The sequence below is a fragment of the Homo sapiens genome, chromosome 5 (assembly GCF_000001405.40).
Source record: "Homo sapiens chromosome 5, GRCh38.p14 Primary Assembly".
NCBI lineage: Eukaryota > Metazoa > Chordata > Mammalia > Primates > Hominidae > Homo > Homo sapiens.
In genome coordinates this window covers 16,519,902-16,538,855 of record NC_000005.10, presented here as the reverse complement: position 1 = coordinate 16,538,855, position 18,954 = coordinate 16,519,902, and the positions used below count along the sequence as shown (strand labels likewise).

The following is an 18,954-nucleotide window of genomic DNA, read 5'->3' as shown; positions in this document are numbered from 1 at the left end:
GCAGGCGCCTGTAGTCCCAGCCACTCGGGAGGCTGAGGTAGGAGAATGGCGTGAACCCAGGAGGCGGAGCTTGCAGTGAGCCGAGATCGTGCCACTGCACTCCAGCCTGGGCGACAGAGCGAGACTCCGTCTCAATTAAAAAAAAAAAAAAAGAATGAAAGAATGTATTTGTTCTTCTTGATGCTAAGGTTATGTCTGTGACCCCACTGGAAAGGTACATGGTGTCTTGGTAGGTCTGTGGTTGCACTGAGAGGCAGGGACATCGTGGTTAAGGCAGACTTGAGTTCGGATCTCTGTGCCTTCCTGCGCTCATCTTTAAAATGGGTGTAGTAATAGAAGTATCGTGCAGAGCTTTGGGGAGGATTAAATGAGATCATGAATGTGTAGCATTTAATGCAGTCTCTGACACGTGGGCTGCATTCCGTTCACTTTAGCGATCATCATTATTATCTGTTATCTTCATTTTGTTTGAGAAGTCAAAGAGCCCCCAATTTGAAGCTACTTCCACACTAAAAACAAGACTCCAAGGGGAGCCAGGAGCAAGGACTAATCCTGCAGCTGCCTAGAGCAGTCACATCACGGGCGCCTTTTGTCCAAAGCCAGCTCTTCATTTTTCCCCCTGATGTCGACCGGCTTGGTCTTCAGAGTCGGAGCCAGGCGCCATCTGCTCCCAGATTTAGCTGTGGCAGGTGGGGTCCGGTGGGGAGTCAGATTTCGGAGTCTCTTCCAAGACTGAGGGCTGCACTGCAGCTCTGGAAGTCTTGGTCTGGTTGGGAACCCTGCTTGACTTCAGTGTTTGACCTTGCAGACATCATTTCTCTTCTGCAGGCCACAGTAAAATGAAGGGACTGAGCTAAGCTGATCCTAAGTTCCTTCCGCCTCTAAAACTGTGATTCTGTGACTATACTGGAGAGCTGAGAATTCCTGTATCAAGTGGGCTTTCTTTGCCTGATATTCACTCCCAAAGCCATGGACCCTGCATGCAGGGTGAGACTGGTCCCAGGCAGGGATGCCACTGTTCGCCTGTGGGTGAAGAGCACTGCGTCTGAGAATGGTGCTGTGCTGCATGCTGCATGCTGCATGCTGCATGGTGCTGACCCTCTTTCTCCTGCCACCCCAACATCCATACCTCACTTCATCCTTTGCTTTGTTTTGGGTGGGGACAGAGTCTTGCTCTGTCCCCAGGCTGGAGTGCAGTGGTACGAACTAGGCTTACTGCAACTTCTGCCTCCTGGCTTCAAGCGATTCTTGTGCCTCAGTCTCCCAAGTAGCTGGGATTACAGGGGCGCACCATCACACCCAGCTAATTTTTGTATTTTTAGTAGAGACAAGGTTTCGCCATGTTGGCCAGACTGGCATCCTTTCCTTTAAAGAACTTAACACCTTTGTTGGAATTGTGGCCAAATCCACACACCATACACACACTCCCAGTGCCCTGGCTTTTAGCTGCTGCAGATGTTTGCAGCTGGTAGCTGTGCTGAGCCTCCGCGGAATTTCCAGGCAGTGGAGAGGAGTTGTTCTCAGGGTCGGCTCTGAGCCTCACGCCTGCGGTTTCAACCCAGTTGTCTTTCTAAACAGGTACCTGGCCTGGGGCAAGTTACCCTCAAAGCCTCATTTCTCCACTTTTAATACATGAAAAATTCAATTTAATTGGGAGGTCGCAGTGTGGATTAAACATACAGAAACCTATTATGTGCTTGGTGCAGGGCCTGGCCCTTGGTCAGGGTTCCAAGAACAGAGCAGCTCTTTGATCGCATAGCTGATGTACACAGACCCTCGTCTTGGTCAGGGAGGAGGCAGGCAGGGTGGGATTGGCATGGACTGGTCAGGGGAAGAGTAGAGAAGGGAAGTCAGCTGACACTGGACCTTTTGTGTGAACTCTCTGACGATGGGAGCTCTTGACATCCTGGGACTATGTTGACATGAGGCATGGTGAAGGGCCACCCTTGGCCTTGGAGTATGTCTTCCCCACTCAGAGAACTCATCTCTGGCAGCTCCCAAGCAAATTCATGTTGGAAAAACATCCTTTTAATCTGCCAGAATGCTCCTGCAAGACAAGAGTCTGAGATCTCAGGCATCCGTTGACTTTGGCGCCATTGACACCTTGCACTGATTTTCAGTCTTTTGGCAAAAAATGTTCCCACTCCATGATAATTTGTGATTTTTCCATTTGAAACAATCTGACACATCTGTGGAGTTAGTATTTCCTGTTGGATGGGATGAGGGAATAAATGTCAGCATGTTGAGAAAATGAAATGGGAGAGGCATGTTTGTCCTGTGTCCTGGTGTCTCTTGGTGGCTCCTTGGGCGAGGAGTTAGAGTGTGTTGACGTGTTGGCATGTCAGGGTCCAGGGGTGAACCAGGCTGGCGATTCCTGCTTGGTGAGGTGATCTGCTTTTGCTGACTAATGGTCCTGTCACTCTCCTTGCTGCTGTGACTGATCAGATTCCTCATATTCACAGACGTAAAGTTTGGGTTTTTATCAACACCGTCCAGCTTCAGAGCATTTTTGTGAGAGCTTCTCTCTGGGAATGAATCAGTGTGGGCTTCCTGCTTTCAAGGCCACCTCTAGGAAGAGGCAGCGTTCTTTCTTTGTAAAAGCTGGCCTGGAAATTCTGGTCAGTCCTAGCATTTGGATGGTTCATGCCAAGCCAGAGAAGTGAAGTAGGTGGGAGTTTATCTCTTCCTTCTTGGGGTGGGATAGAGGTGTTTTCCCAAGGAGATAAAAGGACTGGTCAGACTCTTGCTTTCTCTGTTACTGTGTGAGATTAGATCAGGCAGGTGCATGTCAGCCCAAGGCAGCGTGCACACAGTAGCTCCAGCTCCCACTTTGTGAAGGCAGTGTGCATGCAGGAACCCCAGCTCCCACTTCGTGAAGGCAGCGTGCACACAGGAACCCCAGCTCCCACTTTGTGAAGGCAATGTGTACACAGGAACCCCAGCTCCCACTTTGTGAAGGCAGCGTGCACACAGGAACCCCAGCTCCCACTTCCTGAAGGCAGCGTGCACACAGGAACCCCAGCTCCCACTTCGTGAAGGCAGCGTGCACACAGGAACCCCAGCTCCCACTTCGTGAAGGCAGCGTGCACACAGGAACCCCAGCTCCCACTTTGTGAAGGCAGCGTGCACACAGGAACCCCAGCTCCCACTTTGTGAAGGCAGCGTGCACACAGGAACCCCAGCTCCCACTTTGTGAAGGCAGCGTGCACACAGGAACCCCAGCTCCCACTTCGTGAAGGCAGCGTGTACACAGGAACCCCAGCTCCCACTTTGTGAAGGCAGCATGCACACAGTAGCTCCAGCTCCCACTCTGCGAAGGCAGCATGCACGCAGGAATTCCAGCTCCCACTCTGTGAAGGCAGCGTGCATGCAGGAACCCCAGCTCCCACTCTGCAAAGGCGCACGCATGGAGGAATTCCAGCTCCCACTTTGTGAAGGGAGCATGCATGCAGTACTCCAGCTCCTACTTTGCGAAGGCCCCATGCACGCAGGAGCTCCAGCTCCCACTTTGTGAAGGCAGCGTGCACACAGGAACTCCAACTCCCACTTCATGAAGGGCTCTCTTCACATGTGGTATCCTGGAAATCAATGAGCGCACTCAGAGCTTGCAAGGATTGACCCCAACTGAACAGCCTGGGAGCGAGCGGACGGAAAATCTGTACGTTTATAAAATATACAGTATAAAATATAAATATCTTTGAGAGAGAGAAGAAAAAAAAGTGACATAAGCATTCTGGTTTGAAATCTAATTTATTAGAATTCCAGCTTCTCATAGCAGCTTCTCATTGCTCTTAGCAAAATGTGTCTTTAAGTATGGATTTGTGTCTTCACTTGTTTAATGTCCAGCTTCTCTACCACTCTGGAAGCTCCATGAGGCAGACAGCATGTTTCTCTTATCTATCCCTGGACCTCCAGGGCTTACCTCTGTGCCTGGCACTTAATAAATGCTCAGTAAAAATGCCCGATGAATGAATGAGTGATTTAGTTTCTATTAAAGAGATCATTATTTACAGAAGAAGAAAAATGGCAGCAGAGACCTTTCCTTTCAGAAGTTTGGCAGGGATATACTGTCAAGGAAGCAATCCCAGGTACTAAGTATAATTCTGAGGGGGGCTTCTCTTCTTAGCAGATTAATAAAATAAAGGTGATGAGTCTCCCTTGGAAAGTGGCTAGTGAAAACTCAGAAAAGGAACATGGCAGCTGGCTGGGATTGAAGTGTGAATGTTGATATGAGTACAGAAATATCTGGGCTACCCCTTCTGATTCATTCACACATTATCACATGATTGCCTTGGCCTTGATAATGTCAGCTGAAATAAGCATGGTAATCTCTCCTCTCTACCCACTCTATATGTCCCCACTCCCCAGCAAGGCTGGATGAGTGTGGAGCCCTCTGCACTTCAGGATGATAACCTTGGGAGCACCCTGTCTGGCTGGTACACACTGCTCCAGGCAGTGGGATGGGTACCTTGCATCTCAGTTCTTAGAGCACATGTTGACAATACAGTTCAAACAGTCAAAGCCTTAGCTACTCTGAACATACACTGATGCTAGGTTGGTTCGTTGTTTGTTTTTTAGTGACAGGGTCTCACTCTATCACCCAGGCTGGAGTGTAGTGGCATGATGATAGCTCCCAACTTGGCCTCCCAAAATGCTGGGATTACAGGTGTGAGCCACCATGCCCGGCCAAGTTTTTTTGCTTGGTGAAATGTTCATTATTGTAAATTGTGGATGTAGGGAAAATGTGTTTTTTTTTTTTGGTTTCTCAGACCTCTCGAGGGACTTTCTAATGAAGGAGAATTTTCCGACTTATAAGTCTGTGCCTTTCCAAAGTAGAAGCTGAGCTCCCTGGAAGCTGGGGTGTAGGCTCCAGACCTCACACTCCACCAACCACATGCATTCTCACCAGACTTTGCATTAGAAGCTGGCGATGATAGAAGCAGGCTTAAAGTGATCTATTCTGGCGAGGACGGTGGTCGATACATCCACTTTCCAAAATAGCAGTGGTGAAGGCTCTAGGCTGCCCAGCCATCTGGGGCTGCACCAGGTACTTCTACTGGTCTTTCTGGTAGATAAGTTCTGTGGTGTGATTTGGGTAACATTTATGACCCATTTGTGTTCTGGAGGCAATGTGGGCTATGCTTTTGTGAATTCCTTTTCTGCTTGAACCAGCCAGAGTCAGTCTTATTTGCCACCAGGAACCCTTGTGGGTACTGTGGGTCACTCAAGCTCTAGAACCCATGGGGGTGTGAATTCTCACCATAATCACCTTGGGGCTCCCTTTGGGACCTCTGTTGGTTACCACAGAAAGTTCTTCTTCATTCCTGAGCATCCCTTGATGAAGGGTTAAGCCAGGAGACTACTAGGTTGGTCTGCCTTTGGACATATTTCCTTCCTACTTAAAATATGGCATTTCTCCTGGGAGATGGAGAAGGATGGGGGTGGTCATTAGGCTCTTGGTCTAAGCAGTTAGGAGAATTTTAAATCATTAAGAGTTTTAAGTTCATATTATCAGCCGGGCGTGGTGGCTCACGCCTGTAATCCCAGCACTTTGGGAGGCCGAGGCGGGTGGATCACGAGGTCAGGAGATCAAGACCATCCTGGCTAACACAGTGAAACCCTGTCTCTACTAAAATACAAAAAATTAGCTGGGTGTGGTGGCGGGTGCCTGTAGTTCCAGCTACTCAGGAGGCTGAGGCAGGAGAATGGCGTGAACCCGGGAGGCGGAGCTTGCAGTGAGCCTAGGTAGCGCCACTGCACTCCAGCCTGGGCGAGAGAGAGACTCCGTCTCAAAAAAAAAAAAAGTTCATATTATCAACTGCTAAAGTATGCATTTTAGTCCTTTGCAAATTCCATTCAACTCTAAAACCTAGAACCCAAGTAGAGCATTTACCTAGGGTTTTCTTCAGATCTTTCTGAAGTGTCACATGTAATGAATTCAGGTAGCATATTATATAAATTCATGTTTGCATCTGTGTTGGGATTTGCAATTTATCTGTGGGTTGAAATAATTCTAAATTATCTGTCTTCAAAGTTGTTGTTATTCTTTTACATTTCACCATAGTATTTTACATGAGCTATGTTACAGGAATTGGAATAGTTTATAAAACAAAGATACTAATAAACAATGAAGGAACCTAGCTTGCTTTCCCAAGACTGACTTACACTGTGCTCACTTAGACTTTAACTTCCTGTGAAGAATTCACACAATTATCTGACATGTACAGATAAATTGTGAAAGTTTCTTCACAAATATGCAGATAATAGGGGCACACTTTGGCAAAATAAAAAGTGACATCTAGGTAATTGCCTTAATTTTTCCCGTTATTGTCTGCATGGAGAGCTAACACAATGTTAGCTCAAGTGCAGTGGTGCAATCTCGGCTCACTACAACCTCCGCCTCCCAGGGTTCAAGCGATTCTCCTGCCTCAGCTTCCCGAGTAGCTGGGATTACAGGTGCGTGCCACCATGCCCAGCAAATGTTTGCATTTTTAGTAGAGACAGGGTTTCACCATGTTGGTCAGGCTGGTCTCGAACTCCTGACCTCGTGATCTGCCCACTTCAGCCTCCCAAAGTGCTGGGATTACAGGCATGAGCCACCACGCCCAGCCCAGGAAAACTTTTTGAACGCTAGCAGCTGAGTTACAATGAGACTTCTGATGTTCTAGAAAACTGCATATCATACCCTTATCCTTAAAATACTTGAGTGGCAAAGAGGCTACTAAGATGTGATGTCATTGGGTCTCCACTGGATATCAGGAACTATTGTTTAATCTCAAAGTGTACCTTCCTGTGTCTGTCAGTTAAGGAAGGTTTCCAAGGCCAAGGAGATAATGGGTCCATTTCCATTTTCTCTATTCCAGCAATGTCTGCACCTTAACAGGGTGGACACAGCCCTGTATGGGTAAGGCCATGCTCAGGGATGCTCTCCCAACTCATACTGGTGTAAAGGAACCTTGCAATTAGAGTCAGGATACACGGAGCAAAATTAGTTTGCTCACTGCTTGTGTTGAGAAAGAGCAGCCAAACTCAGTGATGGTCACAGGCTAATTTGTTAAAGGAATCTCCTGTTTGATGCTTGGTGAGCAAAGCCTCCTGCTCCACTCTGCTCTGTCTAGCCACCCCCTTCTCAGGTCCTCAGATGTGCCACGCGTGTCTTGCTTCTGCCTGGAATTTTCCTCCCTTCCAAGCCCAAGGTATCCTTTAACTTAACAGAGGCACCCCTTCCCTGGGAGGCCTTTTCTGCCACCCCCCAGACCTCCAAGGCTGTCTCCTGTGCTCATTCTGTGGATTTCTGTCTCACTCTGTACTTTCCCCCTCATAATAGCCTGCATCACATTGCTCTGTCATTGCTTGTTGATTTATCTGTGTTCTCCGCCAGACTTAAGCTTGGTGACTACAGGGACCATTTCTAATCTTTACCCTCCTGACGCCTGGCCTGCAATTGGCAACAGTAAACAGTTGTTAAATGCATCGGTCATTTCACCAAACTATGTCATTAATAAGCATCTATGATGAGTCTAGAACTGTGCTGTGAGCCATGGATGATTCGAGAGAAGAAAAACATAGCCCTGGCTCAGCCATTTATGAGCTCTGTAACCTTGGGCAAGGTTTCTACTTTGCCTCTCCCAACCTCAGTCCTTTTATCTGTGCTATAGGATAAGAATACTTTCTTTAAGACATTATAAAGATTATATAAAACAGTAACACAAATGACTGGGTAAATAGTAAGCACACCTTAGCTACTGCTGTTATCTTTCATCAAGGGATGAACTGGCCAGAAGTAGTGAGGGATTAAAATGAATGAATAGGAGATCTAAGAAATGTTTCCTGTCTACCTCCCTTCCTCCTTCCTTATTCTCCCCTTTTTCATTCATCCATTTCTTCCTTATGTTGAAATTCTGATGAGTCAGAGAAAGGAAAGATCATTATAACTGCAGAAAGCAACAAGGAAAATGTGTGATTAAATCTTATTTTGGAGTTTTTTTTTTTTTGAGACGGAGTCTTGCTTTGTCTCCCAGGCTGGAGTGCAGTGGGCCACTGCAACCTCCGCCTCCTGGGTTCAGGCAATTCTTCTACCTCAGCCTCCCGAGTAGCTGGGATTACAAGTGCACGCCTCCACACCCAGCTAATTTTTGTATTTTTAGTCTAGACAGGGTTTTGCCACGTTGGCGAGGCTGGTCTCGAACTCCTGATCTCAGGTGATCCACTCATCTCGGCCTCCCAAAGTGCTGGGATTACAGGCGTGAGTCACTGTGCCCGGCCCTCAGGTGTTTTTAAAAAGCAGACACTTGAGTAAGATGGTCAGCATGCCAAGCACTGGTCTCAGTGTTTTGCATATGATTACTTTCTCATCAGATCATCTATTTAAGCCACTTTATACACATTTACAGATATATTAAATCTCCACAACCACTATATAATATATAATTATTATCTCACTTTTACTGATCAGGAAACAAGCACAGAGAGGTTAAGTAACTTGCCTGAGATTGAACAGCCAGTAGGTGGTAGAGCCAGCATGAGCACCCAGGCAGGCTGGCACCAGGGGTCGCTTGGCAGAAATGCCCCTGGGAGCACAAGTATGTGCCCAGCATAGTGAGAGGACTTGACACCAGAAACATTGCCCTTTAGTGGTTGGCTCTTCAGGCAAAGAGTTACAATCACATGGAGAAGTGAATACAACTTGGAAACAGACAAGAGGCCTATAGCCAGGTTAGGTTCCCCGAAAGTGGACTATGAGATGGAGATGAGCATGCAAGGCGTTTATTGGGATAAGCATCTGGGAAGGGAGGAGCAGGCATAAGAGTGAAGAGCGGGGAAATGGAGCTGTGATGTGGTCTGGCCTCCCGGGGTTGGGAGAACCATTCTTCAGTGATGTGGAGAGTAAAGGGTGCTGCTCTTTGGAAGCAGGTCAAGCTACATCAGGCTCTGCTTGGACTTGAATTGCTGCTCATTGAAACAGAGAAGAAAACTAGTCTGATGACCACTGTGCAGGATGAACCCAAATGGGAAAGCCTGAGCGTGGTACTTATGTACCAAAAGGGCACCTAGGGTGAAATTTCACTTTCTACCCCCATTCCACTCTGGGTTGGACTGAAAAACACGCACTGGTGCAATTAAGGATGTAAAAAAATTAACCAAACCAGCGGATATAGCTAAGAACTCAAGTAAGGCTAAGCTTGCTGTTGAACAGTGACGCAAAGTCACCCCGGTGTGTCTTCGGTGGGACAGTGATCATATAAAATCAGATGTTGACATATGAAAACAGTGTTTCTGATTTGTTAAATTACCACATTAACAGCAAGTGCTGCTGGTTTGATTTGCACCTGATATGATAAGAAGCTAATTATATGACAGGGCGACCCATGTGGCAGGGCAATTTCAGTCCTAGCAACACAATATTTACCTGGACAGCAAACAGTCAAGCTGCTAATTCAAGATGCAATCTTTTCCAGAAACTTAGCCAATGCGGTAAAAAACAACGTTCCCCATTCCTCACACAGACACTCGCCAGGTCTAGGAAATAAACTATAACTTATTTTTTGGTCAACTACTGATTTAGAAATGATTTACTGATGACCTTTTATAATAAGTATTTTATATTAAATAGTCTTAAGTAAAAATGTGTGATCTATGATAGGCGCCAAGACACAGAATCCCAGACTTTATTTGCATTTGTAGATTTTGGAAGGTAGAACCCCATACTTTATTTTTTATTTGTAGGTTTTATTTGATTATAAAAGGGAACACATAGGTGGGGGAATTTTTGAAAATACCTAAAGTGAGAATCATAGAGATAATCATTGTTACTCTTGGGGTATATAGTTTCTTCCAGATTTTGTTTGTTTGTTTTACTCAATTTCAAAATATGTAACATATTCTTTTATAACTTGTATGGTGCGTGTACGTGTGGGTGAGGGTATGTAAATACAGCAGTTGGCAAATTATGGCCCACGCTCATCTGTCTGCTTACTGCCTGTGGCTGCTTTGATGCCACAATGGTAGGATTGAGTATTGTGGCAGGCACTGTATGGCCCACAAAGCTGAACATAGTTCCTGTCTAGCCCTTTATAGAAACGTTTCTCCATCCCCGTTTTAATATGTCAAGCAGTTCATGCCATCAGATGTTCTTCAGACAGGTGCTTTGAAGGAGGCATAGTGTTCACGTGAGTGGATCAAAGTTACATATAACTTTACCTTGTCCCTTCTTGCACATATCCCACCTGCTGGGAAACCCTCTTGGCTTTGTCTCCAGATGTGTCTCAGAACCCCCTGCTATCACCTGGGACAGGTCTCACTCCTCCTTGGCCCCCTAATCTTTCTTTTGCTCCTGAAGAGACTGGCCTCCATGTCATCCAGAGCTGACTCCTGTCCCAGGCAGGTGGAATATATATCCATCACAAGGTGACCTTGAACCTGGGGTGACCGTCCCCTTTTCATTGCCAAGGTCCAGGTAAAGCTTGTCAATATAGGCTTCCAGGAATATAAATTTAAAGAGTCATATTTTTTTTACTCATGTGAATTGTAATCTCTGTAAAATCACTGTTAATTTAGTTATGTTAATATATGTAAAAATCACATCTTATTTACATAATATGTTAATTTCAAAATGCTGCTTTTCCTACTTTCTCTTTATGCCAGGTTTATTGACACTAAGGCCACTTTTTGAATCTAACACATTTTCCGGAACACGTTGTCTTCACTACTAAGCTGTGATAAAGCGTGTTTAAAAATAAGAGTCCCTGGCCGGGCGCGGTGGCTCACGCCTGTAATCCCAGCATTTTGGGAGGCCGAGGCAGGCGGATCACGAGGTCAAGAGATTGAGGCCATCCTGGCTAAGACGGTGAAACCCCGTCTGTACTAAAAATACAAAAAATTAGCTGGGTGTGGTGGCGGGTGTCTGTAGTCCCAGCTACTCGGGAGGCTGAGGCTGGAGAATGGCATGAACCCAGGAGGCGGAGCTTGCAGTGAGCCGAGATCGTGCCACTGCAGTCCAATCTGGGCGACGGAGCGAGACTGCATCTCAAAAAAAAAAAAAAAAAAAAAAAAAAATTAGAGTCCCTCGAAATTGTACTAAGCTATGGACAGCTATTTTGATCAGTCTTCATCACACAACCACTTACTATATTATTAAAACTTTTTGAAGAAACTTTTGCAAGGCTATTTACAATGACACTTAGCCTTTTCAACTGTGAGGTCACACCCCCAGAAAGAATTATGAGATGTGTAATAAACTTTCTTCTTCTTCTCTTTTTGATTATTCTTGTTATTATTATGATTTTTATCAATTCTATCAGGCAACTTCTATGACATCTAAAATGCTCCAAACTAGCATTAATGCCATTTCAGCCATTCTTCCTTCCCCAGAACTTCTAAATTCAAAATAGATAGAATGTATAGCCCTGGTATTTTGTAAGATCACAAACACATGGCTACATCCTGTTTCTGAGAGATAACTTTAGGTAAAGTGAAGGAAAACTTTGCCTTGTGTTCAGATGTATAAGGTGAAATTTCAATTGCACACAGCACTGTAAAGCCCTGCCCGGAGGAGCAGGCTGACTTGGTGGTTTAGAGCTCCACCCTGGAGCCAGATGGCCTAGGTTCAAATCCCAGTTCCCCAATTTACAAGCTCTGTGATTTTGGCCAAGTGACTTAGGTGCTTTGACCCCATCTCTAAGGTTTTCCAGGAAGCAAATTCTGAGGTCGACAAATTTAACAGGGGATGCTCTTGGAATCATCACCTGGCGGGGGAAGGTAAAGGAAGCAGCACTGGATGAGGGAGAAGCTGAGCTGTGATGCAGGCGCAACAAAGGCCTCAGCCCACACCTTGCAGAGTTGTCCCAAATTGCCACGAGGAGGCCAGTCTTTCGCACCCCTGTGCTGATCAGTCATTGGCTCACCCTAGGAGGAAGTGAGACACTGTGAGTGTTAGTTGTCTGTAGCAAAGATGGTACCCAAAAAGGACTAACAGCTGTGTGGCATCCTCTGCAGCACTCCTGCAGCTGGAGGAGTAAGCCCTTCATTCCGTAAGGGGGACCTGGCGGTGTGCATCACAGAACCACCACGGGGGTGATAACAGTCCCTTTCTAATATTCAATTAGAAATAGAATTAGAAATATTGAATATTTCTAATATTCTGATATTGATGATTATAATGGATTAAGATATGTAGAAATGTTAGAACAGTGTCGGACTCACAGTAACTGACATGTATTTGTTAAACAAAATTAAAACCTTGGGCCTGACTCATCTCCTTCTGTCACTGTCTTCTTAATTATGCTACTACCTTATTAAGTTCCAGACCCTACTTCTGGAATATGCCAGTTTCACTCCTGACTAAGGGTCTTTATAGTTATTCCTGAAACATCTCTTTTTGAGTCCACCTTTTCCCATGTAATGCTTGGGGGGAGCCTCTGGGAATAGGGTCTCAAAGCCTCATTCCTGCTTTAGCCCTGGCTTGTAACTAAGGCAGTTGACACTGGTCCTGTGACTTGTTAGCTACATGTTAGCTACATGATTGCACAGAATACGCTCCCAGTAAGCATGTGATGAATGAACAAATGAGACTCGAGATTTTCTTATCTGCTCAGTGGCATGCCTGTGGATCAAGACTGATTGATTTTTCTTGGAAACAAAATATTTCTCTACAGAATCTCCCTGAGCCATTTGATACCCACAGCAATGGCCCTCCATGGGCATCGGGAGAGCTCTCTAGTGTGGTGGTTAAATTCATGTCAACTTGCCCAGGCAATGGTGCCTCGTTATTTGGTCACACACCAGTGTAGATGCAAAGGTATTTTTCAGATGTGATCAATGTGGTTAAGTCAGAGCACTTTGAGTAGGGCAGATTATCTTCCGCAGTGTGAATGAGCCTCATCCAATTAATTGAAGGCCTTAAGAGCAAGGACCCAGGTCCCTTGAAGAGGAAGGAATTCTGTCTGCAGACTTCCCTCAGACTCAAAATGACAACTTCTGCTTCTTTACATCCACAAGATGGAATTTTCAGCCCGTTGGCCTACCGTGCAGACTTCAGGCCCTCATAGTCACATGAGCCATTTCCTTAAAATCAATCTCTCTCTCCCTCTCTGTGTATATATATACACAGCCTATTGGTTATCTTTTCCCAAAGAACCCTGACTAATAGACCTAGGAATTCAGTGCTGCCGAGTCTCTATCCCCCAGTTTTGCTTAAATTGATCCCCTAGTTTTGCTTAAATTGCTGCTATGTTTGTCTGGGGATCTGTAATGTGGGCCCAGGACTTCCATCCTGGGCAGAGGAAGACGCCATCTCATCCGATTAAGCCTGTTTCCCAGCTGACTTGCTCAAGAGGAGCCTTGCTGGTGCCTTTGGGGTGTGTAACTTCATTCACTGTGAAGAACCTAGGAACAGTTGTTTCCCATTGTTGGTAGGGCCTCCCTGTCCATCTCCTCACATGAGGTCAGCTGCACTTTCGTGGCGGGGGGGAAGGGAGAAAGGGGCTTGAGCATCTCGAAGGACGCAGATCAGCACAGTGTTACCCGCGCACATCCACCTGTTGGGGCTGGAGGACGCAAATCAGCACAGTGTCCCCCCGCGCACATCCACCTGTTGGGGCCAGAGGATGCAGGTCAGCACAGTGTCCCCCTCGCAAATCCACCTGCAGGGGCCAGAGGACACATGTCAGCACAGTGTCCCCTATGCACATCCACCTGCAGGAGCCGGAGGACACAGGTCATCACAGTGTCCCCCACGCACATCCACCTGCAGGGGCTGGAGGATGCAGGTCAGCACAGTGTCCCCCGCGCACATCCACCTGCAGGAGCCGGAGGACACAGGTCATCACAGTGTCCCCCACGCACATCCACCTGCAGGAACCGGAGGACACAGGTCATCACAGTGTCCCCTATGCACATCCACCTGCAGGGGCTGGAGGACGCAGGTCAGCACAGTGTCCCCCGCGCACATCCACCTGCAGGAGCCGGAGGACGCAGGTCAGCACGGTGTCCCCCGCGCACATCCACCTGCAGGGGTGTGCAAGCACATGTTGTTTCCTGGCCTCTCATACGGCTTCTGACACAGCACGTCCCTTCCTCTTCACTTAACTTTTAGGATTGGGATGATGTTTAGATTTTAACTGCTTGGGAAGGACACAGAAGCTGGAGTAGCAGGAGTGTCAAACAGCCACTGCCCTCTACAGTGTTCAACACAACTTGTGATTTCATTGTCCTGTTAAAAATAATATAAAACCACATTTGATAGAAACAAATTCTCCTTGGTTATAAATAAGCAGGCCGAAAGCAGCGTCTGGCAGCGTGAATCCACCATGAAAATTTATGATGAATTGTGTGTATGACGTTGCCATGGTTTGATGCTGAAAGTAGATGGATGTAAAGAAGCCAAGTCCCCTTTCTATTTTAAACCTTGGACTTCCTCTAGTACTTGAAATAGGAAAGAAACATGAAAGGTAAGGACTAGTGGCACACATGGAAAGGAAATCTGGATGTGGTTTAAGTTTCGGAGATTTTACCAAAGTGAAGGGGGAAATGGTAGGCTGTTGTTCATGGCTTTCATGGGAGTACATTGGAAATGGTTCACACGGCTCACTGCAGTGGAGACAGTCACAGCATCCAGGAGCACATGTGTCGCCTTGTCTCACGCGTGTTGGTGGAGATGCACTCTGGGGCACAGATGTTGCCTGACTGGTCGGCTCAGCTCAGACTCTGGGTTCATTGCTGGTGTTGCCTGTTGGCTGGGGCTGATGCTGGGTGGGAAGGAAGTGCCATCATCTTTGAGGGAACTGATTGCTCTGTGGTTAAGGCTGAGCTCAGATGGAAGGCGGGGCAGGGTTGGACCAGTTGAGGGGAGCCCTGCTGAGAGGGCAGAGAGGGGCGCTGAGGCAGAGAGGTGGCTCCTTCAAATCGCCTGGGGTTGGAGGAGGAATCAACAGAAAGGGGAGGCAAGAACAAGTTTGTGGCTGAAACAAACGTGAACATCAAAATCACAGAGCACTGGATTACCGCCCAAAGTATGTGAAAACACACGAGTCTTCACTGATGGAAATAAATGATTGGACAAATAAGTATTAATAAATTGGGGGGAGGGGAGAGGCAGGTCTTCCTTGCAAGCCACCAAATACTGTACGTTGATACTCCCCCATTCAGGAGTTAGAGTCCTGTCCCTTGTGCCACACTCCCTCCCTCTTTGAGCGTGGATTGGATTTAGTGACTTGCTTTCAAAGAATAGAGGATGGAAAGGGAAAAATAATAACTACAGTTGCAAATTTGGCAAGCTACTTTATCCAAGTGATCAAGTTAACGACACCAGTGATATGCCATTTGGACATCGTGAGCCCCGAAATATGATGTGAGGAGAGGGGCGCTTCACCTCATGGACTCTCCCCCCAACCCAAAATCTCAGCCTAATGACGAGAAAAACATCAGACAACTCCAAACTGACGCATCTCTACAAAACACTCCTCAGATCTGTCAAGGTCATGATAACTGAGGAAAGTCCAGGCCATTCTCATAGACCACAAGAGACCAAGCTGATACCAAGATTGAATGTGGCGTGGTGCCTGGGAGGGTATCTGGGTATCCTGGAAGGGATGAAGAAAAAAACAAAACAAAACAAAAACCTAGCAAAGTACAAGCCAAGTCCGGAATTTAGTTCATAGTGTCGTACCGATGGGTTGTAGTTTCTACAAATGCGCCATGGTAATGTAAAATATTAACAGGGGGAAAACTGGGTGAGAGAGATCAGGAGCTCTCTTTGTAACTCTTCTGTAAATCCACTGTTGTTTCTTTCTTTCCCTCCCTTCTTCCCTCTCTCTCTCTCTCTATCTCTTTCTTTCTTTTCTTTCTTCTTCTTTTTTCTTTTGGAGACAGCATTGCCCAGGCTGGAGTGTAGTGGCGCAGTCACAGCTCACTGTAACCTCAACTTCCTGAGTGCAGGTGATCCTCCCCCATCAGCCTCCTGAATAGCTGGGACTACAGGCTTGTGCTACCATGCTCAGCTAACTTTTTAAAATTTTTGAAGAGATAAGGTCCCACTATGTTGCCCAGGCTGGTCTTGAACTTCTGGGCTCAAGCGATCCTCCCACCTTAGCCTCTCAAACTGTTGGGATTACAGACATGAGCCACTGCACCCGGCCCCAATATTATTTCAAAAAAAGTTATTAAAATAAAACAAGTTTGTGTATGTCCATAGAAGAGGGGGCTGGATGCTGGAGGAAACCCCTCATGAGGAATTATCGTGGAGACAGGAGATTGGGGATTAACACCATGAAAGTCTTACTGGATCCAGTTTCTCTTCTCAGAGTCTTTAAGATTCAAGTTTTGGGTTTGTTTTACTCTATTTTTAAAGCTCATGACTTTTTCTAGTCATTGAAGGTGTTTTGCTCATACCCCGATAGAAGTGAAGCCACTTACTGGACACCTTCAAGTTGCTACATCATTTGGAATCCTGAGGTGGCCTGAAGGAGATAACCCCATGTTTCTGAGAGGACATGTGATAAACTGTGCCTCTCAAACACATAGTTTATCTCCAGACAGCGACTGAGGCAATGAGGAAATGAAAGCCCATTAGATTACTGGAGGAATCCGCCCTTCCTAAGAAGCAGTTCTGAGATCTCATAAATCAAGGCCTTTTTTTTTTTTCCACATATCAAGATCAGGGTGTTGCTCAGCTTTTCTTGTAGCAAATGCTTCTCCAGGAGCTGGTTCCTCTTGGAAAATGCCTAGATACCACAGGGTGGTGGTCCAGAAACACATTTCCCAAGCCCCATTGCTTGGAGGAGAAGTCCTTTCAGTGTCTGAGGCAATCTCTCATCCCCCTTCAAGGCTGGGTCAGCAGGTGAAGCTCATGCAGCCAAGACCGCAAGGCCGTCAGATGGTACGTGGCAAAGAGTGCCCAGTGGAGGTGCTCTGGTCCCCTGTCCCACACCCCAAAGCGAATATGGAAATAATGATTTACTTCCAGAGCTGCAAGCTGCAAAGTCTCCCTTTCAATTTGGCTTCTCCAAAAACTACTGGGTAAATGGATAACCAAGAAACATCTTATCAGTTGCTATTTAAGGACTGAAATCCTTTAAACCTGACATCAGCAGAGTGCAATAAGGAAGATCGACGTGTAACAGAACCCATAGTTAAACAGAAGGTTATATGTAATTGCTCCTGTGTTGCATTGTGCTTTTCAACTCAGGAGATAAGGTTTGTTTTGAGCTGAGGGCCAACCTTGTTGATTCACTCCTGTCTCTACTATCCACAAAGACCTCTGTCTCTATGGTGTGTGGACTTTGAAAATTTCCACTTCCTTACGTTTGCTAAGAGCAGTGAGACTTGAGCCAGAGCTCTTTTGCTGCTATGATGATTTGTTCTAAATTTCTCAGAACCAAAGATTCTCTGTCAAGGAACTTTGCCCCTGAAATGCACAAGCCGTATCACCTTAGAAGAGAGCTTTAAATAGGAAAGCATGCAGGAACATCCTTCAGGAACAGGGGAGTTCTGTGGAGGGCAGCTTGAACCAGCGGCAATACTAACCCCCTAGGGAATTTGGTTTTTACAAGTGTTTAAACTGTGGGGCATAGGGTTTTAGAGAAGTTCTGAGGGATTTGGGAGGTAGGATGGGAGGGGAGAAGAATGGGAAGGAAGAGAGATAGCAAAAGAAAGTGGCTTCATATCAGAGGCATAGCGATTATGTTTTAATGAGAAGAGGAATGAGGAAATAAGCAGGAATAAAACCAGTTCCAGGTGACCCACAGGACTTCTGAGAGGGAGTCACAAACCAGAATTTATAAAGACCATGTTCAGTGCAATGAAAGGAGACTCAGTAAACACAGGACTCAACGCAGAACAAGTCAGTGGCCCTGGGTGAGGCGTGAGGTCTGAGCCCTGCCCTGTTTCCTGCAGTTATTTCTCTGGCCTTCCTAAGCTGTCACCAAACTGCCCCCTGTCCCTCTCCGTGTTTCCAGAGGCTACTCCTGTCCTCTGAATTCCCTGCCACCTCCTGCTCCTCTTTCCCACCTGCCATTACCTCACCCTTCCTGGAGTGAAGCCACCAGTGAGGGGCAAATTGTTTCTCACAGACTTTACACTTTGCATCATGTTTTCAAATGGTCATCAACCACTAAATAGCGCAACTTAAAAATTATTTTAAATTAATTTAATTAATTTTAACTGCAAAAACCACAATTACATTTGCACCATCCTAATAGCAGCAGTCAATGAACTTTTCTTAAAAAAACTATTGGCTGGGCGCGGTGGCTAACGCCTGTAATCCCAGCACTTTGGGAGGCTGGGGCAGGAGGATCACAAGGTCAGGAGTTCCAGACCAGCCTGGCCAACATGGAGAAACCCTGTCTCTACTAAAAATACAAAAATTAGCCGAGTGTGGTGATGGGTGCCTGTAATCCCCGCTACTCGGGAGGCTGAGGCAGGAGAATCGCTTGAACGCGGGAGACGGAGGTTGCAGTGAGCCGAGATCATGCCAATGCACTCCAGCCTGGGTGACAAGAGCAAGACTCTGTCTCAAAAAACAACAACAACAACAAAAAAAAAACCACAAAACCCCCAAAAAACTATTGATTAGAAAGGACATTAAGCCTATCACCATAGAGATGAGCATGACAAAATAGGGCTGGGGCAGGACACCACCCTTGCAGGCTCTGACTCTTCGCCCGTGTTTCTGTCTTTCCTCACCCCCTCCCCATCATGACTTTTGCAAGTCCATGTCCTGCTCTCCTGGCCTTCTCTCCCACCGGGCTGGCCTGTCCCCCAGCAGCCCTTGGATGGCTGCAGTCCGCTCTGTCCAGGCCATGCTTTCCAGGTAGCTTGGCCTCAACATACCCTTTTGGGAGGCACAGTCCAACCCATAACAGGGTCAGGCGGTAGGGGTGGCACGGACTGGACAGGAAAGGGGTGAGAAGCTCTCGCTGGCCAAAGTGATGGTCCATGACAAAGACGTGGTTCCAGCTG

General features: G+C 46.6%; 1 protein-coding gene across 3 annotated transcripts in view, besides 1 other annotated feature; it reads left to right on the top strand.

The window, feature by feature from the left end:
- RETREG1 (reticulophagy regulator 1) overlaps positions 1-18,954 on the top strand; it is a 143,945-nt gene that overhangs the window by 78,142 nt on the left and 46,849 nt on the right. The window lies entirely within an intron of this gene.
- Positions 2,949-3,450: an enhancer, noted in NCBI's record as "H3K4me1 hESC enhancer chr5:16535515-16536016 (GRCh37/hg19 assembly coordinates)". NCBI's record gives its function as "activates a minimal SCP1, AML or CMV promoter by ChIP-STARR-seq in naive H9 embryonic stem cells {active_cell/tissue: H9 hESC(naive)}" and the evidence as "EXISTENCE:reporter gene assay evidence [ECO:0000049][PMID:30033119]".